At 44.6% G+C, this 25,197-nt stretch overlaps 1 protein-coding gene and 1 long non-coding RNA gene across 4 annotated transcripts in view, besides 4 other annotated features; both read left to right on the top strand.

The window, feature by feature from the left end:
- Positions 1-25,197, top strand: part of FSTL4 (follistatin like 4) — a 645,613-nt gene that overhangs the window by 457,349 nt on the left and 163,067 nt on the right. The window lies entirely within an intron of this gene.
- Positions 5,877-24,005, top strand: LOC124901068 (uncharacterized). The gene is made up of 2 exons (XR_007058941.1): positions 5,877-7,773; positions 23,782-24,005. It is a non-coding gene; the product is annotated as an uncharacterized LOC124901068 (long non-coding RNA).
- Positions 13,012-14,211: an enhancer, noted in NCBI's record as "P300/CBP strongly-dependent group 1 enhancer chr5:132706200-132707399 (GRCh37/hg19 assembly coordinates)". NCBI's record gives its function as "activates an origin of replication core promoter dependent on BRD2, BRD4, P300/CBP, MED14 and CDK7 cofactors, with strong dependence on P300/CBP, by STARR-seq in HCT116 cells {active_cell/tissue: HCT116}" and the evidence as "EXISTENCE:reporter gene assay evidence [ECO:0000049][PMID:35650434]".
- Positions 13,375-13,909: an enhancer, noted in NCBI's record as "H3K27ac-H3K4me1 hESC enhancer chr5:132706502-132707036 (GRCh37/hg19 assembly coordinates)". NCBI's record gives its function as "activates a minimal SCP1, AML or CMV promoter by ChIP-STARR-seq in naive H9 embryonic stem cells {active_cell/tissue: H9 hESC(naive)}" and the evidence as "EXISTENCE:reporter gene assay evidence [ECO:0000049][PMID:30033119]".
- Positions 18,974-19,497: an enhancer, noted in NCBI's record as "OCT4-NANOG-H3K4me1 hESC enhancer chr5:132700914-132701437 (GRCh37/hg19 assembly coordinates)". NCBI's record gives its function as "activates a minimal SCP1, AML or CMV promoter by ChIP-STARR-seq in primed H9 embryonic stem cells {active_cell/tissue: H9 hESC(primed)}" and the evidence as "EXISTENCE:reporter gene assay evidence [ECO:0000049][PMID:30033119]".
- Positions 20,321-20,822: an enhancer, noted in NCBI's record as "H3K4me1 hESC enhancer chr5:132699589-132700090 (GRCh37/hg19 assembly coordinates)". NCBI's record gives its function as "activates a minimal SCP1, AML or CMV promoter by ChIP-STARR-seq in primed H9 embryonic stem cells {active_cell/tissue: H9 hESC(primed)}" and the evidence as "EXISTENCE:reporter gene assay evidence [ECO:0000049][PMID:30033119]".

Below are 25,197 nucleotides of genomic sequence, written 5' to 3'. Positions count from 1 at the left end.
GTGTTCAGAAAGATCACCTGTGTTGCCCTTGGGACAGAGTGACCCTGGAGGCAGGGGCCCAGCAGGAGGCATCGAGGACATTCAACAAAGCCACACAGAAGCCTGAATCGGGGGAGTGGGCAGACCGGAGAATCACTTAGGAAAAATACAGTCAGCAGGACCAGGCACTGATTGTGAAAATTAACCATCACACCTGCCCACCCCAGGATGGTTCTAACTGCCTTCCTCCATCCTTAGCCAGTCCTCGTCTAAGCAGAAGTACAAGTCATCTCAGCGAGGCCTGAGTGAAATCCTTCAACTGACAAGAGCCAAGTTTCCCATTTGGGCTGGGCCCTGAACAGTCCTGGGAAAGTGTCAGCCCTTCGTCAGGGCGCACCCTGTCACCACCCCGTCTGGAAAGCGGGCCACTGACTCAGAAAGGAAATGTGGCTTGGATGCCGAAGTCAGAGTGTGATTCTCCTACCCTGTGGCTCAGTCCCTGTCCTGGACTATAGATGGATGGAGTGTTGCACTCTAGGGTCATTGCACCTTCCTTTCCTGAGTTGCAACCTCCACCTCCAGTACGCAGGGGTTCCGCAGGAGGGTGGGGAAGCAGCTTGATTCCAGAAGTCTTTACCTCTCCTCATCCACCAGCCTCAGAGGTGCTTTCTGCCAATCACATTTTTCCCAGCAGTCTTCTTTTCTTCCAAAAGCTTAATAATTTAAACAATATCCATTTGAAATTATATTTAAACACTTAAACAATGTAAGATGCAAACTTAAGGGGAGAAAGACCAAAGGGGAATTTAGGTGTCGGATTTCTCAGAACAAAAGAACAGTCCACAATTGGAGGGAGAGGAGTGGCAGAGCACAGAGGCTGCTGATTAGATCCAAGTGTGCCTCCTTTCTAAGGATACTTTTGTCTGAGAAATGCACGCCTCGACCAGCAAGCTGCTGAGTTCAAAGACATGGGAATCTGGGTATTTAATCAACCGCCTTGGTGACTGGAGCATGGGGGAGCCTAGTTACTCCTGGAAATCGGTAATGAAGGCTGCGGCAGGAGACCCGCCTCTTAATAAGGCAGCAGCCAATTAACAGAGCAAATGTTTGAGGTGTCCCCGCCGAGTGATGGGATGTCTTGTCTTCTCCCAGGGCCCTGGGGCCTGTCAGTCAGACAGGCAGGTACATGACTTAAGTTAATTGGAGAAAAACTCCTTCCAGGGAAGTGGGCACTGGTTTGTCATTCAATGGGATGGAGATCTGGTTTTGACAAGTACCTTTGCCTGACCCAGGAAAGGACACGTCCTTCAGAAAGGCTCTCCTCTCCCCCGACCCTAGCACCACCACTGAGACTCTCTGGTTGGGAGTTTCTAGCCCCAGGAATCTCAAAGCCAAAAAGCACAGCTGCGCATCTGAGAACCAAGAGAATTTTGGCAGGAGAAGGCGAACCTCCTTCCTGAGAGAGTGGCTCTCCCCACCCCTTCAGATGGTACCTGGGAAGCACCTGCTGAGCCCACCAGGGTCTGGGCTCTGGAATGGCCAGGAGGAAGTGCAGGATGTGGGCCACAGGAAGAGCTGTGACTGGGAGACATTTGAAACTCAGGGTAGGACAAAATCAGGGTGGGCCGGGCTTGGCCAGCTGGGGAGTAGCTGGTCATGCCAATGGAGAGGTCATTTCAAAATGGGCCAAGGAGTAACATGTCAGTAAAGTCCATGTGGGCACGCAGAGCCTGCTCCAGCCACCTGAATATCCACCAGGCAGTTGCACGCTCTGTTCCTCCTTCTCCCACCCCCCTTCTCTCTCTCTCCCTGTCTCTCTCTGTGCCCTCTTTCTTTCCCTGTACTCCTCCTCATCTTCTCACCTCCTATTTCATTTTCCCTTTCCGTGCCCTCCCTGTGAGGTCTGACTTGAGTGTGCCTACACATATCTAAAACAAGTGACTGAAATAATGTGTTTCTCAGTTAACTGGGAGTATGTATTACATGGTGCAAGCTACTAGTTCTATGTTGAGGGAATTAAGCAGTTTCCCTAGCAGAGTTGAGACAGTCTGAAATAGATGATCACCCATGCTCCCCAGCATCAGGGGATGAACCATGCCATCTGACCGTTCATGGTCCTGTGAATGCTGTCAACCCCACATGAGCCAGCAAGTTTGTCTTTTATTGGAGAAATCCCTCTCTCCAATTTTCCAAACAATCACAGTCTGGATTATAAGTAAATGACTAATTCAACAAATGAGTTATTGCTCAGTATTCTTGCATCCAGTTTAAAGTGAGAGGAGGAGGAGGAGGAGGGAATGATGAGAACTAACAATCATCACAAGTAGGTGGAAATTATTACCCACGTAAAGAAATGGAGGTTTCAGAGGAGTGTTAGGTTATGCCACAGTAACAAACAACTGCAAAACCTCGGCACCCCAGTAAAAGTTTCTCACTCACGCAGTACATCCAGCATGGGTCCGCAGGGGCTCAGCTCACAGACCCAGGCCCACATGGCCTTCTGCAGTCAGTGATGTAGGGAAGGCCAGGCATCTGAGAACCAGGAGGATTTTGGCAGGAGGGTTTGGCAGGAGAGGCTGAGCAAACCTCCTCCGTGAGAGGGTGTCTCTCCCCACCTCTTCAGGGGGTATCTGGGCAGACCCTGCTGAGCCCACCATGGTCTGGGCTCTGAGATGACCGGGAGGAAGTGCAGGATGGGGAAGGGGATGTGAAGAGGGAGTAAAACCCCAAGGTAGAGCCTGGAATTGACACACATTCACTTAAACCCCCATTTCCTTGGAAAAGTAAGTCACACAGCCACAGCTAACTTGGCTAACTTTCTCCTTGGAGGACAGAGGCCCTGCTTCCTCATGTTCCTCCTCAGTCCACGGCATCCCGGCCAGCGTGTTTAACTAGAGTGAGGGCTGAGTGCTCATAGGAACGCTTGAACACACAACCCTGCACATAGCTGTGTCCACGTGCAAGGCTGACCTACTGGCATATTCATAGAATTGGAAGGGAAACCACTTGGTGAAAAGGAAATGTTTTTCTTCATTTTCTATTATGACGTATGGCATACAGACAGTGGGATGAAAATGTGTACATGCAGTTGAAAGAATGATCGTGAAGACAAGAGCCGTGTTTTAGGAATTAGGCTGTGCTTTAGAAATGCTCCCTCTCTCGTGCCCCTCCCTACTCAACGTCCTCCTCCCTGCCTGGAGGTGACCACTGTCCGTTCTGTGATAATCATCTTCCAGCTTTCTTTATAGTTATCTAAATTTATATTCATAAATGTGTCTCAACATGGTTTACTTTCTCTTGTTTTTGAACTCCATATAAATGGAACCATGCTGCGGGTGTTCTTTTCAGATTTATTTCTTACACTCAGTATCTGATTTGTAAGACTAGTTCATATGGGGTATAGTCATACCTTGTTCTTTTCATTCCTGGATATCCCCTTGTATAACTATGCCACGATGTATCCATTCTGCTGTTGACAGCCAGCATTTGGGTTAATTCCCATTTGGAGATATTCCAAGCTGTGCAACTGGAATCATTCTTGGATATGTCTTCCTGTGCACCTGTGAAAGTGTTCCTCTAGCGTGTACTCTAGGCACTGTACTTCACTCTCCTTTCTAGATATCACCATACTCTTTCCCAAAATTGTTGACCAGCTTTCCTTGGAAACAACAGTGTGTGAGTTCCCATAATTCATATTCTTACTAACACTTGTGACTATAAAACCCCTTTTTGACAAAATGCTTTTTCTGCAACTACTGAGGGTTTTGCCCTTTTTCCTATTGTTTATTACGGTAATTGATTTTCATATGTTAAACCAATCTTACATTCCTGGGATAAATCCCACTTGGTAATGATGTATAATCCTTTTTATACCCTGGATTTGATATTAGGTATAAATTTATTTTATAAGTTATATATATATATGATATATATTTTATATATTGCTGGATATGGTTTGCTAGTATTTTGTTGAGGATTTTTTTATATCTATAATCATAACGGATATTGGTCAGTAGTTTTCTTGTGTTGTCTTGCCTGGTTTTGATATAAGGTTGATATTGAAGTCACAGAATGTGTTGGAACATCTTCCCTTCTCTTTTATTTTGTGGAAGAGTTTATGAAGAATTGTTATTAATTCTTATTTAAATGTTTGATAGAATTTACCAGTGAATTAATTTGGTCCCTTGCTTTTCTTTGTGTGAAATTTTTAAATAACTAAATCTCTTTACTTATATAGTTTTCTTATTTCTTCTTGAGTTACTTTCAATAGTCTGTGTCTTTCTACAAATTTGTCCAATTCATCAAAGTTGTCTAATTTATTGGCATATACTTGTTCATACTCTTCCCTTATAATCCTTTTTATTTTGTAAAGTCAGTAGTAATATCATCCTCCTTACTATTTTTAGTAATTCGAGACTTCTAAAAAATTTTTTTGTTAGTCTAGCTAAAGGTTTTGTCAATTTTGTTGATTTTTTTTTTTGAAAGAACCAATTTTTGGGTTTGTTGAGTTACTCTATTGCTTTTCTATTCTCTTTTCATTAATTTCCAGTTTAATCTTTACTACTTGCTTGCCCTGCTTGTTTTGGGTTTAGTTTGCTCTTCTTTTTACTATGTGTTATGGTGAAAGATTAGGTTATTGATTTGAAATTTGTTTTATTTTATTTTATTTTTTTTTTTGAGATAGAGTCTCACTCTGTCACCAGGCTGGAGTGCAGTGGCTCACTGCAACCTCTGTCTCTCAGGTTCACGCCATTCTCCTGCCTCAGCCTCCCGAGTAGCTGAGACTACAGGCGCAAGCCACCACACCCAGCTAATTTTTGTATATTTAGTAGAGATGAGGTTTCACCATGTTGGCCAGGATGGTCTCGATCTCTTGACCTTGTGATCCGCCTGCCTCAGCCTCCCAAAATGCTGAGATTACAGGCATGAGCCACTGTGCCTGGCCTGTTTCTTTTTTAATGTAAGCATTAATAGCTACAAGTTTCTCTCTAAGCACTCCTTTACTACATCTCGTAAGTTTTGTTACGTTGTGTCCTTATTTTCATTCATATCAAAGTGTATTTTCTCTTGTAATTTCTTATTTGACCCATTGGTTATGTAGGTGTGTGTTGTTTAATTTCCACGTATCTGTGAATTTCCCAGATTTCATTTGGATACTGGTTTTAATTTCAGTCTTGTGGTAGATGAACATATTTTGTGTGACTTCAGTTCTTTTAAATTTATTGAACTTTCTATTCTGGTCTAGTATATGGTCTGTCCTGGAAAATGTTCTATGTACACTTGAGAAAAATGTGCATTCTGCTTTTGTTAAATAGGGTGTTCCAGCGGGATCTAGTAGGTTTAGTTGTATCATAGTTTTGTCAGTCTTTTATTTTCTTGTTGATCTTCCTAGTTGTTCTATTCATTATTAAAAGTGAGATATTAAAGCCTCCATCTATTATTGTCATCTATTTCTTTCTTTAGTTCTGTCGCTTTTGCTTCGTGTATTTTGGGGTTTCTTGTTAGATGTGTATATGTCTAAAACTATTAAATCTTTCAAATTGATTAGCCCTTTTATTATTATCTGTTTATATAACACCTGGTTATCTCCAGTAGCATTGTTTTATATTAAAGTTAATTTTGTCTGATATTAGTATAACTCTTTCAGCTTTCTTATAGTTTCTTTTTCCATGCTTTTACTTGCAATCTATTTATATCTTTAATTCTAAAGTATGTGTTCTACAGCCAGCATATATTTGAATATTACTTTTTTATCCAGTCTGAAAATCTCTGCCTTTTGATTGGATTGCTTAATTCATTAGCATTTAATATGTTTATTGATATAGTTGGATTTATATTTGAAATTTTACTTTGCTTCTTATATGTCTCATTTCATTTATTCCTCTGTTTCTCCCTCAGTGCTTTGTTTTGTATTAACTGAACATTTTCTGTTGTAGCATTTTAAGTCATTTAATGATACTTTTCCTACATTTTTGGAGGGTGTTTTTAGTGATTTTTCTGGGGTTTACCATATACATCATAACTTATCAGAATTTACTTCAAATTCATACTAAAACTTTTAATTTCTGTGAGATATAGAAATGTTATTCCTATATGTATTTTACACTTTACATTTTTCTGCTATTACTGTTACACAAAATAAAACTATATATGTTACAAACCCAATAATACATGTTTTAAATTTACTGATTTAAATAATTTTGTCATTTGAAGCTGAGGGAATAAATGAGAGCAAGTATATAGTTATATAATTTGTATGTTAACCTTCTTATTTACCATTGCTGGTTTTCTTCAGTGTTTTTGTAGATTCAAGTTATCATTTGATATCATTTCCTTACTCCAATACAGTTTTGCACCCACCTACATCCTTTGTGCTATTATTTTCAAGTATGTTATATTTCTGTATGTTATAGGCACAATTGTACAGTTATAAACATATTATTTTATACAATTGCTTTTAAAATCAGCTAACAAGAAAGGAGAATAAATGTATATTTATACTGTCTGCTATAATTACATAGTTATCTTTGCCAGTGCTCTTTTTTTTTGGTGTAGATGTGATTACCATCTGGGGTCACTTGCTTTCAGCCTAAAAAGCTTCTTTCACCTTTTGTAGAGTGGGTATGTAGCAATGAATTATCTGTTTTTGTTTATCTGAGAATGTCCTTATTTTGCCTTCGTTTTTGAAAAGTGGTTTTGTTGGATATACGATTCTTTGTTTACAGTTTTGTTTTTTAGCACATTGAATATGTCATTCCACTGTCTGCTGGCTTCTTTAGCTTCTGACAAAAAGTCAGCTGTTAATCATATTGAAGTTCCTTTGTACACGAGTAAAAAAAAAAATTGTTGCTGCTTTCAAATTTTTCTCTTTGTCTTTGTTTTCTATATTTTTAGTAGAGTGCACCTGGATCTCTGTGTATATCTTCCTTGAAGATTGTTGAATTTCTTGGATGTACTGATTAATTTTTTAATCAAATTTAGGAAGTTTTTAGCCATTAATCCTTCAAATAATTTTCTGTTCCTTTCTCTTTTCTTTTTCTGGTGCTTCTACTGCACATATGGTGGTGTGCTTAATGGTGTCACACATTTCTCTGAGGCTTTGTTCATTTTTTTTTTTTGGTTCATTTTCTTCCCTAGTAAACTAGCTGTCCTACAGTCTAGCTTGTTGCTCTCATGGAGCTACCAGCCTCCTCTTAATTACTTACCACCAAAATGTTCATTGTTTTAAGAGTACTTTTAGGCTCAAACTTCCTCATACTCTGTTCCAAATTCCTCTCAGTCAGAGCTCTCCATTTTAATGGCCTGTCTCGCCCCATGGCCAAAATCTCCAAGCCACTGCTCCAGAGTTTGGTGTGGGCATAATGGCCCAGTTCTCTTAGAATGACACCCTTAGTTGTAATTCTAGCCTGGTTGTCATGGTAGACTCTGGTCTCTCAGTTCACTTCTCCCAGCATGAAATCTCTGTCCTATGAGTAAACTGGGGTGAGGGAACTTCGGGTCCCAGTGTTACTGCCCTGTCACACCAGCAGTAGAGTCTCCATCTTATGAGTCAGAGCTGAGTGGAAGATGAGAGCCCCAGACTGCTCAGTTGCATTTGCCTGGAATTTAGTCTCCACAGCCTGGAGCTGGCAGGGATTAGTTGTGCTGGCATCCTGACCTCCCAGGGAAATATTATATACCTTGACTGGAAGCTGGGGAAGAGGGAACCCTGTCTCCTTGGCACTTCCATCCAGAATGAAGCTTCCTTCACATTTAGCTGGCAAAGAGAGAGGGAGCAAGCAGATCATGGCTCAAGTAAGACTCTTGCTGTTTTTACTGAATTTAGTAGATTTTCTTTTTTTTTTTTTTTTTGAGACAGACTCTTGCTCTGTCTCTCAGGCTGGAGTGCAATGGCACAATCTCGGCTCACTGCAACCTCCGCCTCCTAGTTTCAAGCTATTCTCATGTCTCAGCCTCCCAAGTAGCTGGGATTATAGGTGCCCACCACCACACCTGGCTAATTTTTGTATTTTTAGTAGAGACGGAGTTTCACCATGTTGGTCAGGTTGGTCTCAAACTCCTGACCTCAGGTGATCCACCCACCTTGGCCTCCCAAAAGTAGATTTTCTTGAATAAATGTTTCTTCATGTGCTATAGGTACTTAGGAAAATTTCCAGATACTTTAACCGGTTGGGTTTGGAGTGTGTGTGTTTTTTTTAAAATCAAAATCATCATTTCACCATTTATATTTATTTCTCTGAAGAGCATGTCTACAGAGTTCGTTATGCCATAATTCTAAAAGCGGGACCCAATGTTTATTTTTTTAGTCTACCTGGATTTAATGTGTTGTGAATGGTATAATGCAAAGGCCTAGTTTTATTATTTTTCACATGAATTCCAATTCCAATTTGCCCTAACTCCATTTATTGAAAAGTCTATCTGTTCCCCCAGAGATCTACAATACTGCCTCTGTCTTGTAGCAAATGTCTGTTTCTGCAGGAGCATATTGCAGAGTTCTTTCTTCTGTTCAGTTGATCTATTCCTGCACCAATACCACAATGTCTTAATTATAAAAGCTTTATATAGTAAGTTCTGATATCTCATAGGACAAGCCCTTGTCCTTCTTCTTTGAGAGCACTGAAGCTGTCTTCAGGACTTTGTATATGTTTATAAATTGTAGATTCAGCTTGTCAAGTGCACACGTGTGTATACACACAACCTGTTGGAAATTTGATTTGTATCGCATTGAGTCTATGGGTAAATTCAGGAAGAATCAACATCTTTACAAGACTGTGGCTTTCCATCCGTAAACATAGTATATCTCTCCATTACTTAAGTATAAATATCAACTGATGCAAGCAGTATGTGTGCTCTCTAAGGCCATGGATCTTCCAGAAACTTGTAATATTTTCTACTCTCTCCACTCATCTCACAAGGGTTCATATCACTTTAAATCATGTCAATGTGGGAAGAACAAATTAACTTTAGAGGCTATTACTGATCCCAATGTGACAGAAAGCCAGATTTCTAGACAAGTAGATATTTTTGGTAGTTGCCTCTAATGGATCAACTATACCCAACGGGAGTGAGAGTAGAATAAGGTACATTTTTATCACAAAGTAGCACCTACTTTAAAGCTCCTCCACTGCTTTTTACTAACCAGTTTATTTCCTTTCATGCTTTCACCAACACTCCAGCTGTTTTCTGACAATGGGGAACTAGCATGAGGCTTGGCTATTTCAATCAAGGCAGGAAAATATTGATTAGGGGTCTTTAAAAGTAACTGCTGTTGCTTTCCTTTTATTGTTGTTTTTCTGATTACAAAGGTATTATGTATTATTTCCAGAGAATTTAGGACATACAGAAAAGCACAAAAGAGAAAAATAAAAGTGATTTACCATCAGAGAGAACCAGGGATAATATTTTGGTATGTAACTTTAGAGTCTTTTATATATATATATATATATATGCCATGCACACCCTATGTTTTGGGTTTTTTTTCAAAATAGCTCTTTATAAATGGATCTCTTTATACAACAGTAAGTCAAACCATTGTTTTCTTTGGAAAACAGCAGGTAATGGGTGCTCAAGAGTGCTGCAGGGAAAGTGCAGAGAATCCCTTCAGGAGAGACAGAGGTGTTTAAGTTGAGACTGCCAACCAGGTTATGCACCAGCTCACTCCTCGAATACCACCTACTGATTTCTAGATGGCTGACGTGAATTTGATTGCCTCTCAAGGTTCCATCCAACTCTAAAGTTTTGGGACTCCAAGATTTCTGTCTGATCTGTGGTCCCATGTCACCTAACACTGTCATAGGCCTGAGTTGTTGAAATGAGGGGTGCTTAGTCAGTCTGGTGCTATAACGGATTATCATAGTCTAAGTGGCTTAAAGAAATTTATTTCTCACAGTTCTGGGGGCTGGGAAGTCCAAGATCAAGGTGGTAGCAGAACTGTGTCTGGTGAGGGTCCTCTTCCTGGTTTGCAGATGACCATCTTCTTGCTGTGACCTCACATGGTAGAGAGAGAGAGAGAGAGATCATCTCTTCCTGTCTTTTTTTTAAAAGGGTATTAATCCCATTCATGAGGACTCCATCCTTGTGAACTAATTACCTAACAGACACCTCACCTCCAAGTATCATCACATTGGAGATTTATGCTTCAGCATATGAATTTGGGGAGACACAAACATTCAGTGCATAGTTAGGGGTTTTTGGTTTGCTTGTTTAACTGCCCACCAAGAATATGATTGGAAAGTTCATATTTAACCAAGATGGTAGTACTGTCACAATTTCTTTCTAGAAGAGATAATATTAAAAGACCATTTCATCTGCACAGCTCAATTCCACAGAGAAGAGATGGTGAACTCAGGCTTGTCTCTGGTAAAATCATTGTGTGCCCTGGGCCCAGAACCCCTGTGTGGACCCCTTTCCTCCCTTCAGCTCCACCAGTACAATGGACCCTTGTCCAGAAAGGGACTTCTCGTGAATAAATTTGCCTCCATAATGACCGAATAGGAGAAAGTTGCACATCTAACCACCTGTAATTATCAAATAAAATCCTTTGTGCCCAGGTCAGTAAGTCTGAGTGTGGGCAGTTGGAGGAGGATAGGGAAGCCAGGGGAGGGGGCAGGAGGACCTTCCCAGATCCTGTGAAATCACCCTTCTAAGTTACCACTCAGGACATGGCTAGCTAGATTAATGTGGGGCTCAGGGTTTCCCTGCCCAAGGGACTTCATTTCAGGTCAGGCAGAGGCAAGCAGCTTAGCCCTCACATCTGTGCTGCTGAGTGTGGTTACTGCAGGAGAGAGCTGGAGTCTAAGGGAAGAAACTTCCCATGCTTCCTGAGGGGTGGGGATAACTCTGAAGCTCTGTGACCAGTTCTATTTAAGCCAACATAGAGAAGGGCATCATGCTGCTGAAGGTAGAGGCAAGTGATGCTTCATCCTGAGATTTTGGGGACCATTGCTGCTCAGGTGCTTGTGCTGTTCACCCATCTTAGTGCCCCACCCAGGGAGATGGAGGGTGCACTGTGGCCCCAACCCAGTCTACATGGACTAGGTTATGATCAAGGCTTCCCAAGAAGGGAGGGTAGGTTTGGTGGGGTCTGCCCCAAACAGTTGTTCAGTGTGGGGCCAGCATCCCACACACCCAACCTGGTGTTAAGTTATGGATCAGCTTGGCCATGAAGCAGTATATTCCAGCTCACTCATTTTCACATTGGTGCTGCCGCCTGTTCACACTGGTTCCTTCTTGTATGTGCATCCAGTGGATCTCTGCTTCTACATATAGCTCATTGTGCAACCCTCCCACATGGTGGTGTTACTCATGGATTTCACATTCTTACTCTCAGGATGTGTTTCAAGGAAGTTACCCTCGGAAAAAACTCTTCCAATCCCTATAATTCCCACAGTCCAAGATTCAAGGTGCTGACCGCCCACCTCCTGCATCACCCCAAAAGGCAGTGGGCTGGTGGTGTCATGTCAGCTCTTGTTGGCTGCAGAGCCCTGGGGGCTCTTCGTAATAGCCGCAGGCCTTCCTGGCAGGGATTAGAATAGTCCATTTGGGCTTCCTTAACAGAATAGCACCAAATAGGTGATTTAGACAACTATGAAAATTTTATTCCACCTTTTTGGGGTGGCTTCTTAGCCACCTTTTTGTTGCATGCTCACATGGCAGAGAGAGATCCTCTCTCATGTCTCTTCTGAGAAAGGCACTAATCCCATTCATGAGGCTCCCCCCACCTCCTAATACCTTCACGTTGGGGATTTAGGCTTTAATGTATGAATTCTGGGGAGACACATTCGGTCCATAGCAGCCAGCCATGATGTTCTCACAGGTGGGAGCTGCTGAGAAAGCAGCTGTGACAAAGAACATGAAGAAGCCTGTTACAAGGAGTCACCCTCCCTCTGGGCACAATTAAAGCAGAGTGCCCGGCCTGTATATGCCAGAAATTTCAGTTCCTCCCCGCTGGAGGCTCAGTTCGCACCATAAAATGCCACATTTGATATGCAGATTCCCTGAACTCTCCAGAGAGGAGCTGGCTACCCAAGGGGAAACAAAGGCTGTTCAGAATGTGTCTGGATCCATTCCCCCATAAGTGATGTTAACACTAAAACACAACAGCTCTCTTTCATCGGGCTGGTTTTATGGCTCCCACTCCAACTGTTGCTTGGAATTGTGGTTGTCCTCATTGGCTTTTTACTACCTTTAAAAGATCCTTTGCAGAAGCCTGTTGGCTGGCTTCCTGCTGACTCCAGGGCTCGTTGTGGAAAGGCCTGGAAGGTTGGCGACTAGGAGCCTTGGGCCATGACCCAGTCCTAATACCAAGGTAAACACTGAGCTCAGTTATGTGTTCTCTCCTTGGTGTCACGTGCTTAGGGGGATTCTGACACACAGGTGACCTCCAGGGGGCAAAGACTAGGATCACACACAGTCTAAAAACTTTATTCCACAGGACAATAAATTTTAAAAAATAGATAGATAGATAGATACATACATACATACATACATACATAGATACATAGATACATAGATACATAGATAGATAATTCCCCTGCCAGTCCTCAAATCTCAGCATGAAGCATTATCTCCCTGGCGGGAGAAACATGAAAACTGTCTCCAAAGCTGATGGCCCTTTACCTGGAAGTTTGATGAGGTGTGTTTGGCAGCCCCAGCAGGCACATGTTCGGCCTGTGGGTGGGTGACAGGGAGGCCAATTTCAAATGCCCTGCTTGTCAGTGTCATGGATTTCAATTCCTCTCTCCTGGAAGCAGTTTCCACCATAAAATGGTGAGCCTTCCAACAGCTGGGGCTGCCTTTGCAATGGGCCTCCCGGTGATGAAGTGGGCTTCCCGTCCCTGGGAGTGGACAAGCAGCAGCCGAGGCTGTTGGGGAAGAGGCGGAGGAATTTCTGCCCCGGGAGCGAGGTCTGACGATGAGGAGTCCTTCCAGCTCTAACAGACAGTGTTCATACCTCAGTGTTTTTCAAGCCCCAAATCAGTTTCTTTAATGATGCTCCTGTAACAAACAATGCCCAGTGATCGCTGAAACCATCTTTTTTCACACTTCAAAAGAATCTGAGAACAAAGGTGAAAATGACATTTCCTTGTCTGCCAACTGATATTTACGCACATGAATCATCTGACACATTCCGCATTACTTTACAGGCACTTCAAATGGAGGCTTTTCCCCTGGGAGCTCTTGTGTTGTGCCAGACAAGTGGAGGCCCTGTAGGGACACTCAGCGGCTCTCACACCCTAGACAGGTCCGTCCTGCCACCAGGAGTCAGGCCCACACTTTCCGTAGACCCTCTTCCCTCATGCTTGCTTTTTCCCATCCTGGGAGTTTTAGGGACACTAGCCATGATTTTAAATTTCACGAGACCTACATGGGATAAACCCTCAAGAGTAGATATGTTAAATGTCAGGAATGCCTCTTGCGGTGAGGGCCTTGGGAAAGCAGTGCTGGCTTCTGGGCAGCCCCAAAACATGGGCAGAGCTTACGTGGTCAGAGTCTCGGAGTGGACACCCTTTGTAGGTTGTGTGGCTCATTCCATTAAGTCCCAGAGCTGGCCGGTCTTGATGGCCTGGGGTTGGTGACCCTCTGAGTCCTCGGGACCGTTGGCCCTCTGTGCGCTGTCCCTCCATGCCCCATCCCTGCATGGGCCCTGCTTGCCAGCATTGCCCAGAACTACCCAGGCATTCAGAGAACCAGGCTGGTACTGGCCAGGGAGGCAGCCAGGGCCTCTGTCATCACAGGCCTGATGTCCAAGCTCACGTCTGTGCTGGGAACCCAGTTTGCAGCCAGTCATGGCAGGGGAGAGCCATCTCTTACCCTGGGTTGACTCAGCACCCCAGCACCCACTCGATGACCCCAACCTGCCTTTCCCTGTTGCTCCATGGGGCCAGTTGCCTTAGACCCTAATGAGTCTTTGAACTCTGGCTTTCTTTCCTTCTTCTCATTCCTGAAACCACCCCCTCTGCTCTGAGGGCGAGGCTGCCTGAGCCTCTGACTCACTGCTGCCTCACACCTGCCTACCCCTTCTCCCCACTTCCCACAGCACCGCCTCATCCCTCATTCCTTCTCTCCAGCTGGCGGGACAGGAGTCCAAACCCCAAGACTGCCCAAAGACCATGCTTCAGGACCCATGCTGCCCTTCCCCGAGCCTGTCCTCACACAACTCTGCCTAGGAAGCCAGACCACACAGGACCCTGAGCACGCTGGCTTGCCTGGGAGAACTACTGTCCTGTTTCCCTTCAGGCCTGGGACCCCTGTCTTACTTTGGGTATCCTCCAGCAGGCTTCCTGCCCAGCCATGGCTAATGTTTAAAAAAAAAATTAGGACTCTCCCACAGGGAGAGGCTCCTTAAATAGGATCCAGATGCTTCACTTTTAGAGAGGCTGGCCTGCAGGCAGATACCAAGTGAGGGGCCATCTCAGTCTCAGCCTGTCTCCCTGCCCACAGCCCAGCCTGCCAACCACAGCTGCCATATTCCAAGCGACCTTGTCATTTCCTCAGCGACAAGCAGAGAACTCTGGGCAGAAATCATGTTCCTCTTCTGCCCTGGAGAACTCTGGGTCTCATCAGGGCAGACAGAAAATATTAGGGCATGATTGAAGATGAAGGTTGTGGGGCTATGACCACATGCACGGTGACAGTTCAAAGGAGCTAGAACAGTAAGAGCTGGGTGGCCAGGAAGCTTCCTGGAGGAGGGGGATTGGAATCCAGTAGGATGCTCTTGGCTTGGGTGGGTGGAGGGCAGCCCTGCTAGATAGGACCAACCCCAACAAAGGGATCAAATCAGCAGCGCCTCACTGGCACCTGGGGAGGGAGGGAGGGAGGTGCTCTTCTACCTGTGTCATAGCTAGCTGCCCTGTGTCCTCTGCCACCAGGGATTCCTCAGCTCTGAGACTATCTGGAGTGGGGTGCCTAATGGGTTAACTAAGCCCTGCTGATGCCAGGTGACAGAACCCACCCAGTAAATCAAATGGCACAAGTGTGTTGCCCTTAATGGTGTCGTTTGAGGCCAAATGAGCCTGCTAGAGTCTCTAAAATCACACTGTGTAGGAGGCGCCCACCTGTCAGAATGGGGCCCACCTAAGCTGAGCATTTTGTGGAGAATAAGAAAGTAGGTGCCTGGGCAGTGGGAGGGGCTGTGTCAGGCTGGGTGCCAGGACTTGGTGTTCTAACCTCACCAGGTTGTGACGGAACAAGCCTGGTCCTCCCACCCAACCCCCTGCCAGGTGGCTTCAGTTTCTCCCTCTGTGCAATAGAGGGGATTGGCCTTACTGTTTTCTCAGTCCCCTTCTCATCATGATATTCTGAGACTCTGCTGTGAGTGGCATGAGATGTCTCGGTGTGGCTCTCCACCCAGGTCCTGCTGAGGAGACACAGGAGCAATGAGCCCAGGGAGGGGATTAACAGAGGGACCGCCCATGCTGCAAATTAGCAAGATACCAGCTGCCAAATGTAACAACTTGTGTAATTGGCTTTTTGTTTTATTAAGAGGCATGATTCTCTTTAGCCAAGCCTCAAATGCCAGATGGGCATTAAACTTTGGAAGATACAGAGATTAACATTAACAAGAAAAGGACAGACTTGGGTAGCTTTGGAGGCTGGTGGTATTCAGCAGGCCATGTGTGGGTGTGCCTGCCAGAACCCTGCATGGAGACCAAGCCAGCCTTGGAAGTCCATCCCTGAGGCTTCTTCGTCTATTGGGATGGGTACCTACATTTGGCTCAAGACTGACTTTTCCCAGCATAAGACAAACTGAATCCCTGAAGCACCGTCTGCTGGAAAATCCCCTTTATGCAGAAAAAGCCAGTTGGCACTAGGAAAAGTCCTGGCCTGCCAGCTGATCTTTATTCAGTGAAATAGAATTATTAGAATGGGCTAGATGACAAACCAACATGTCCACAGTTGGGGGACAAAGAGGGGACCAAGTAGACTTTGGCTTGGAGGGTCCAAGTACATCTGACAGCAAGGCCAAGGGCACAGCTGCCCATGGGGCTAGACTACAGGAATGACTACCCACCGGTTCTGTTCTGGTGCACGTTTGTTTCCTGGCTCAGGAATCTGTGTGTGATGCACCTCCCGTGCTAGGGAACTCAACTGGGCATCAAGAGACCTGAGTTCTCCCAGGCTCTTCCTGTTGCTCTTTGGACCTTAGTTTCTACAGAGGTTGGCAGTCCCCTAAGGTACCCTCACTTCTGACATCAGCTGCTCAATAATTCACCAAAAGGATTCACAGAGCTCACAAAAACCTTTATGCTCATGGTTATGGTTTATTACAGCACAAGGAGACATTAAGATCAACAGAGGGAAGAGGGGCATGGGGCCCAGAAGAGTTCCAAGCACATAACTCCCCAGTGTCCCCTCCCAGTGGAGTTGTGCAGACAGCACTGGTGTGTGACAATACACTCAGAGCACTGCCAACCAGGGAAGCTTGCCTGAGCCTTGGCATCCAAGGATGTTACTGGGACTCAGTCACATGGATATGGCTGGCTGGCTGGCTGCATGGCTGACCGTAGTGTCTGGCCTTCCAGAGGTTGAGCTGACACCACATGGTCCGTGGCCTCCCACCATAAATCACATTGTTAGCATAGACTGTGTCATGGCCCAAAGCCCCCAGCTAAACAAAGATGCTCTTATCAGGCAGCACAGTCCAAGGGCTTAGCAATCCCCTCCCAGGGGCAGGGGGCAAAGGCCAGAACTCCCCTTGGACAAGGGTATCTTTCTTATGCAGAGGCTAGATGAGATGGTCTCCTGGTTCCACCAAAGTCTTAGACTCTGGGATCTTGATCCTGCCTGTTGGATCTGGGTTTATTCACAGCAGAACATGGAGAACAAAGTTCCAGCCAAATGAAATGTGAAACTGTGTTAGGTTTCTATTCAGGTACATCCTGTGTCACCTGTGGAACTGTGTTTGATTTGTTCTCTCCCAAGGATCATAGCTGGCAGGCTCTTTAAAACCATTAGCTTACATTTCCTTTTCTACTCTCCTGATCTTTGTTTCCAACTCCTGATGTGGCCTACTGCAGAAACCCCACAGTAGCAGGGAAACCCGCTTCCTTGCACTTCTTAACATCTTTCATCCTTGAGGTGCGGGAGAGCCAAGGAGAGAGAGCGTGGCCAAGCTGCAGCTGTTCAAATGGTTCTGCCTGCTGCCGACCAAGATCTGGAGCGAAAGCAGAAATTTGTCACATGTTGTGGCAGTGAAGCCTCCCCATGTTGCTGTCCTAAAATCCCAGGGTCTAATTGGAAAGGAATTAAAAACGCAGGCCTTTCTGGGATGCTTTGGTTGGATTCCTAGAAAACTTCTGAGAATAAAGCATTGCCATATGGCTGTTTTCTTGTTTACCTTGGGGCTAAAGAGAGACATTCTGGACTGAAATCTTCCACATTGTTTCAGAGACAACACATCCAACCTCACACATTTTTGTGGTGCTAAAAACCAGTCTTGTTCCACTTTGTGGGGATATAGACATGAATCTCAGGCCTTTGGAACAGGGATTACTGGCTGACTTGAGTCTTTATTCCCTGTAGGGCCTATGGACATCTTGGTGTCCATTCTTCTCATTGCTGCCTAAGCAGATCAGTTGGCTCTGTCTCATCCTTTCCTAGTCCCCAGCTGAGCTCTTCCAGGAAAGAAGAACAGCTGTCTTCCACCAAAGTCTGCCCCCAAGCAGCTAACAGAGTCACTATTTCAGGAGAGACCTTCAAGGGGAGGACCCTGAATGGCTGGGGATGCCTTCTCATCCTGCTGTTGTTTGGCTCAACATTTCAATACATTTAAATATTCATTTAAAATACTTCAACATTTAAATATATCATTTAACAGCATTAGAATGCTCTGCACCAAAAAATTAAGCAAAGGGAATTGTAGGAATTTTTTTGGCCTTTTCAAGCTATTAGTATTTTAAGTAGACCTCAGTTCAAAACTGGAGTCTTGAAAATGGTCCCATTACTATAAATTAGGATGCCGCCTTGTGCTTGTGTGAGACGCTTCCATCTTGGATTGGTCCGTTGATGTTCCTTGGACTGAAGAGCTGCAGTGAGTTCAGATTCTGAGTGCTGGGTTTCACCTGACTTCTTGAGTCACCAGAGGGTGTGCTTGAGTCACCAGAGGGTTTCCTCCAAGAAGAAAGTGAGGAAAGGGACATGGGGAAGCAGGCAGAAGAAAGTTTTCAGTGACCAGAGAGGAGTCAGAGTTACGGATTTTTAAAAAAATAAATTGCATGTCACTGTCACTCTGTCAGTAAACATGGATTGAGGACCTGTTGTGGACTTGTGCTGTGTCAAGCACCGGCGATACAACAGTGACCATGTCAGACGGTATCCTTGCCCTCAAGCTGCTCACATTTGAATAGAGACAGAGAATAAACACATGAACAGACAAGGATGACAGGTGGTAAAGACCATAAAGAAAAGCATTGAGGGAGATGTTTCAATGCGGAGTTTCAATGGCTGGGGTATCCTCGGAAGGCCTCTGTGCAATGACATTTGAGATGAGAGCTGCATTTTGAGATGGAGTCAGCCATCCAAAAATCAGGGGAAAGAGAGACCCACACCAAGGCTCAGCAAGTGCAAAGGCCCTGAACCTGAAAGGAGCTTGACACGTTCAAGGTGGCACACAAAGGCCACTGTGGTTGCAGCATCAAAAGTGAGAGGGTGGTAGGAGATGATGTTGGAGAAGGATCCAGAAGCCCAGGCAGGTGGGGCCTTGTGGATGACAAGAGTCTGGGTTGCCCATTAGAGGAGGGTAATACTGGGAGAAGCAGTCCCTGTCTGCAAGGGGTGGAAGAAGGGCTGAGGGCTAGCCCTCATCCCTTTGTCGGGTACCACCAGCCCCTGCCAGTCGTGAGGCTTGCAGGCTGCAGGAGGCTGACGCAGATGGTGAATGTTAATACCCGTGGCCCTGGTCCGACCTTTTCAGCATTCGGTGTTCTGATTAACTGGCCATTCTCCCTCTTCAGCACATGTTGAAGATACTTTGTTCAGGAGGAAGTTGAAATGGCCAGCCCATCTAATAACAGAATATTGAAAAGGTCACAGCAGTACGGCTGAGTTCTCCAACCTACAAATCACAGGGAGCGTCAGCTCGGATAACTCATTCTCCTGACAAATCAAGGAGCAAGGACTGAAGACTGCACCGCTGATTAGGCTCATGGGAAACCAGAGGGCCAGGGAGAAATCGATAGAACATCCTGCCTCGTGCAGGGGTTCAGGGCAGCAGGGGTGCTGATTAGCAAATCAGCAGGTGGGGGCATGCTGTCCCCTGGTGGCCGCTCAAATGACAGCCGCATTTGAAAGACCCCAGAGGGGAGGTCCCATCTGGACCTGCCTGGGTGGTCCCCCTGGCTCAGCAACTTGGCTGGAGATTGTTACCATTTTACCAGAAAACTATTAAAAAGCAGCTTTCCCCAAATAAAACATTTGCCATTAAAATCCCTAAAAGTTGATCTCTTTCAGGATATCTTGTGTTCTTTTTCCATTAAGGTTTATTATTATTATTATTATTATTATTTTAGAAATTAACTTTTGCCATGACCAGCCTTTTTGAGTTTTGACTGCAAGCAACAACAGTCAAAACTCAAACTCCTCGTAAAAGGAGGACAGGTTTATGGCTTAATTTACTACAGAGTTCCACAAACAACATTAAAGAAAAATGACTGATTTAATTAAAAACTGGGCAATTAACCTTCTGTGCGCTAAAATAGAGGGCTTTCTGAGGGCTTTCCACAGAAGCGTGTCTTCATCTGTGAGGCAGCGGCCTCAGAGAATCTTAATAGATCAGTGAAGCTGGATTGAAGTGGAAAGCTCACCTTAAAAAGAAATCTAAGGAGATTAAGAGGGGGATGAACATCAAAAATGACTCTGATTAAGCCAAGATAAAGAATGCTAGAATCTGAAAGGGAGAAACAGCATACACAGAATATATTTTTAAAACCACGGGCACAAAGATTTCGGTGGGCTTTGGAGATAAGGGGGACTGACATTTTGAGAACGGTTGATAAAAAGCTTTTCAGCACAAATGTTCATTTTCACTGGGGGCTGAGCACAAAAATCCATGGACAAAATTGAAATTCTACATGCTAAGAGAAGACTAAAAGATTTACTGGCACAGATTCAATTAAGTGGCTTAAAAAATGTACCATCTCCTTCAGGATTCATTTAGGTGCCTGCCTCATAACTGCACAATTTCCCAAACGTTGCTTGCTAATGTGTCAGGAGGGATGATTCCTGCAGGAGGAGCAGGGAGTCTTCATCATAGGACCTTGAATCAGGGCTCAGCAGGTGTAAGAGGCCCCTGGCATGGGGCAGCCCCTGCCAATTCCTCCTTTGCGGTGGCCTGCTGCCACCTCGATCAGGAGGTTAGGTGCCCACTGGGAGTACACTCAGAGTCCCCTCTGAAGTTTCAGGCCTTGAGACAGCAGGCTTTACTTGTGACCACCACCACCCACCCCCACACCCCCAACAGAACCGGGCTTTAGTTGTTACAAGCAGTCTGGAGACCTGGACTTTCAGAAACAGAGCCTAGCTCAAGATGCACTTTGAACATGTCCCTTGCTGAGCAGTGTTGGAAACTGTTGACCCCATGGGCACTCTTGGTTCCATATTTCTGAGTTGTCAATCGCCTGCTGATGCTGGAATGTCAGGCGTGTCCTGCCTTAGCCAGGCTGCCCTGTTCAGTGAGAAGGGAATTATTTAAAGATCTGTCCCCAGCAGCACATTCAGGGCCCAGAGGTGGGCTAAAGCATCTACGGGAAGGCTGGTGAGTTATTGCAAAGTGGCAAGTGTTAATTCAGTGCCCTCTGAGCCGCCGTCTATGAATTAACCCAGCCATTAGAACACTAGAGTTAGCTCAGTGTGAGGCCAGCTCAGCGGTGAGAGGGCCTGCACAAAGCTGTTAAGGCTGATGGAAAGACAGGGGTGGGCAGGGTGTGGGCAGCCCTCATTTTAGACAACCCTTGGGATGTGAAATTGCAGCTCGACCAAGGTAGTAAGCAGGAGTTTGGTCCCTGTGGTCCACGGCCTGCCAGCTCTGAGATGCCCTCAGCCCAGGTTTCATCCTGGCTGTATTGCCAAGTACACTGGCTGGAGGTTCAGGAGCAGCCTTGTTGGCCTCCCACGTGGATGCTAAATGTTATTTTTAAGGCAAGAGCAAGGAAAGTGAAATGAAAAGGCACTTAATATAGTTAGACCTACATTGCGGCTGGCCATTCAAATTCAGGGCTGGACGGAGTACTTCAGGCTGCGGTGGTCAGGGAAGACCTTCCTGTTAGTGACCAAGCTTGGGGGAAGGCGTGATTGTGACAAGTAGAAGAAGAAAAGTCATTAAGGGTGGGAATTTCCAGAGTTGCTGGGGGAAAACAAGGATTGAGGGGGCTACCGTAAATGACTCCCCCATAACCTGATATCCCCCAAAGGAAAAGCAGTACTAGAGCTGAGGGCCTCCTGGAACACCCCCACTCATGGAAATGTGGGCAGCTTCTGTGGGCACTTGGTACCTGTCGCTGCTGCCCCCCACCACATGCTTAACCATGAGGTAATTTGTACACCTGGTTTTGTTTGTATGTTTTTTTTCTCTGTGAAGTATGCAGATTATTCAAAAAGAGAAAATAAAGAAGGGTAATTATTTTTCTTTAAGAATGACAGCGCAGTCATAAAACCCCAAATGGAGGTAAAAAGGGAAGAAGTTAGGAGAGAGAGAAATCAATAAAACAGAAGAGGTTTAAAATAAGAGCTCTAAAGGGCTGACAGCTATAGGAGACAGGAGAGGAGGAATTAGCCTGGAATTTAAATCTCAGATATTAAACTTAAGATGAAATAGAAAAGAAAGAAAGAAAAAAATGAATTTTAAAATGAGTGATTTAAAAAGGAGATAGGTTAAAGGCATAGTAATTGATGAGTTAAAATAAAAGTATGAGATGATGCTTTTAAAATAGAAATTAACTAGGATCTAGAAATGGCTGCTGAGACTATGGGAAGGAGTTCCCGGAGAGCAGGGGCCAGGCCTGGAAGCACCTCCTGTGCTCAGCCTCGCCCTTGTGTTCTTTTGCCTGCTCTGGACAGGGAGCATTTTCCAGTCTCCATGGGCAAGGGCTGCCTTCCCATGTGCACAGGCACACAGCAGGCCCAGAGGCCTCAGCCCCCAGACCTATCAGAGAAATCCTGAACGCATAGACAGGGAGCCCCACAGACGCACTGAGAAAGCGCTCAGGCTACGTGCTGGGTGAGTGAAAACTTATCAAAAAACGCAAGTGAACAAAGGCTCCTCCTGCCCTCTTTTGGGAGGAGTGACTGGGTTCCACTGCCAAATCTTCAAACACTGGTTCTCAACTCTTTCAGATCCAGTGCCGACTTTTTAGAACAAATATTTAATAACACCCCATGTATTGCCCTGAAACGAAAATTATAGACAATGTAATCCACTTCCACACTTAATTTCACAATATGATGTCCTAATTAAAATATAAATGAGAAATACAAAGGAAGTAATTTGTAGTAAAATATTACATATTTCAATATGCAAGACCACAGTGGAATTCATAATGATGTAGCCAGATGCTGGCATGAAGGCAGCCTCTACAAATACAACTGATACAGGTTTATGGAATTGGCAACTCATATGCCACAACACTGTGTTGCCATTGGCAACGAGATAATGATGAACAACTGTTGATAAAGTTCTGAACAAAATAATGTGTACTCATTCCTTGGTTTTTATAGTAGTTGTATCCCAGAGAAATTCCAAGTATATTAAGCCATGCACAAAATACTTTGTATTCATGGATAACTAGAGTTAGGTTCTAGGCTCAAATAATTATAAATATGTTTTCAACTACGTGAATATCCAATGGGATATCCAAAAAATGGGGGCATGTGACAATGTATTGTTGTGAAGGACTGTCTTATACAATGCAAAATGTCTGGTATCCCTGGTCCTTGCTCACTCAATACTAACAGCAACCCCATCCCCACCTCAATCATTGAGACTGCTGAAAATGCCCCAGTGATTGCCAAAAAAACCACTACAAGGCAGTTCTGCCCCACTTAGAACCACTGTCTTAGAGGGAGAAACTTGTCAGGACTAGAAGGCATTTGACACCTCCTTTGGGTTTCCTCATGGCTATACATTCCCAGTCTCAAAATTTTTAGGGAAATTTTTGGGGTAAAAAGGGACATTTGGAAGCAAGAGCAGAAGACTCTGAAAGAGATACCTATGCGTTTTGGCCAAGATGTGCTGGTCTGATGCTCCAGGGAGCCCTGAGATCCTTGGGCAGATAAGGATGAAAAGAGGAAAGATTGGAGCTCAGGCAGAGCAAGAGAGGGCCTGCTGCTGTTGTAGAAGAAACTGCAGATGACAGAAAGGGTGCTTCTCAATTAGATAGTAAATAACTATAAAGGATTATCGCAGTCAACCGCGAAATCTCAAGATAACATACAAAGGGGCAGAGGTAAGGGTCTCCCACTCCCAGGATGGTTTTCATCCAGAGACAATACCAAGTCATTAGAAAGCTCTGGAAAGAAGCCAGCACTGCAGGGTCGGAATGCGACCCCTCCTTGAAAAGTTTATTAGAGCGAGAAGAGGTCGGGAATCATGTTTCAGACTTGCTCTCGGCTTCAAGGGCTCAGAAAAAGTTAATCTGATGTTCTCCTGACTCTGGGTCATTTAACTCATTTCTAAAATGGGTTTCTTGCTCAGAGCAGAATTTCGAGGTTTGTAAACTCCAAGAAGAGAAAAAAAGGTCCTACACAATTGTGTTATTGTGATTGAACAGTTTTATTCTCAAAGATTTAATTTCCCAAATTTTGCTTTAGGAATACACGGTAAATGCAACACACGGTAAGATGGCAATTAAGCTCCCTGCGTTAGGGAGTATCACTCACGGTGATAATTGGGAAACATGACAGAGAATGGGACGCGCCATCTCAGAAGAGACGAAGAGGCTTTTCAATTACTCTGGAACTTTATTTATTATTTTTGAAGGGTAATGCATTGCCGCTCTTAACTGTCTGAAATTAAAGTGGACGTTGAAAACATAGCCCTTCTATGAGCTTATTTTTATTTTTACTGAGCATAATTGGACAATATAAAAAGTTTACTTTTTAAATGTGTCATCTCTTGTTTCTTTAAAACTGTAATCACATCAATAGGAACTTTGCTGTTGAGATTTTATTGCTTTGTCTAGGTTCCTTTTCCAGCCTATCAAACTTGGTAAATTTAAAGATTGTTCACAAATAATGAAAGCTGACTTGTTGCAAAAAAAAAAAAAAAAAAAAAATTATTGCCTGAAAACAAACTCTAAGAGACACTATAGTGATGTTTATGTTTTTTAACTTAAGATTTGAAGCAGGAATATTTTCAGACTTAGATTCTGCAAAATGATCATTGGACCAGAACACATTTTCATGTGTTAAGGTCAGATCTTAGAGCCAGCTTTGAATTCAACAGTGGGTTCTTTCTTTCTCATCATCAAATGGGCTTTAAAAGGTCAAGGAACAGCGAGGTGCTGGTGGGAGGAAAATCGCCAGAATTTCTCTTTCCTATTTTGAGTAAACGTTGAGAAGATTGTACTTGGAGTGTACTTTATAGGTACCCGATTGGGGACGAAGAGGAGAGGGACAGGGTGTGTTCCCATGAAGGCCCCAGCCCTGCAGGGAAGGGAGGCCACGCTGAGGGTCCACTGTTAGGGCTGTTTGATTCCTGGGCAGCACTTCAGGAAATCTGTTCTCTTGGAACCCACTTATGGGGTTTACAAAGCAGAGAGCCTTGAGGCAGGCTGGAGCTCAGAATACTGGCTCCCTGGTCTGCCAGGGCAGTCTCAGCAGCACGGGGAGTCAGGTAGAGGCCTTTCCACACCTGCCCTGGCCTCCTTGGCTCCCCGGGAAAGCTCCCGTGAGGGACAACTGAGGCCATCACCAGCAGCAGAACGGGTAGGAAAAGGGGCTCAGAGAAGAGTTTCAATTAAGCCAAAGAAGAGTAAAGGAAATGCTTTTAAAAGCTGAATGAGGGTGGGGCAGATGTGGGGCCTTTCATTAATTCAAGTGTACTCTAAATCTTTAAGAAGCAAGACACTAATATTACTGCCAACAATAAGTGGCTAAATTCAGTGAATTTTGACAAAGGCATCACACCCATGTAACTACTATGCCAATCAAGATACAGACCATTGCTGTCATCCCCAGAACTTTCCTCCCGGTGCTTTCCTAGTCAGTCCCCCCATCACTGCCCTG

This window comes from Homo sapiens, chromosome 5 (genome assembly GCF_000001405.40).
Source record: "Homo sapiens chromosome 5, GRCh38.p14 Primary Assembly".
In the NCBI taxonomy this organism is placed as follows: Eukaryota; Metazoa; Chordata; class Mammalia; order Primates; family Hominidae; genus Homo; species Homo sapiens.
This window is presented reverse-complemented; position numbering and strand designations above follow the sequence as displayed.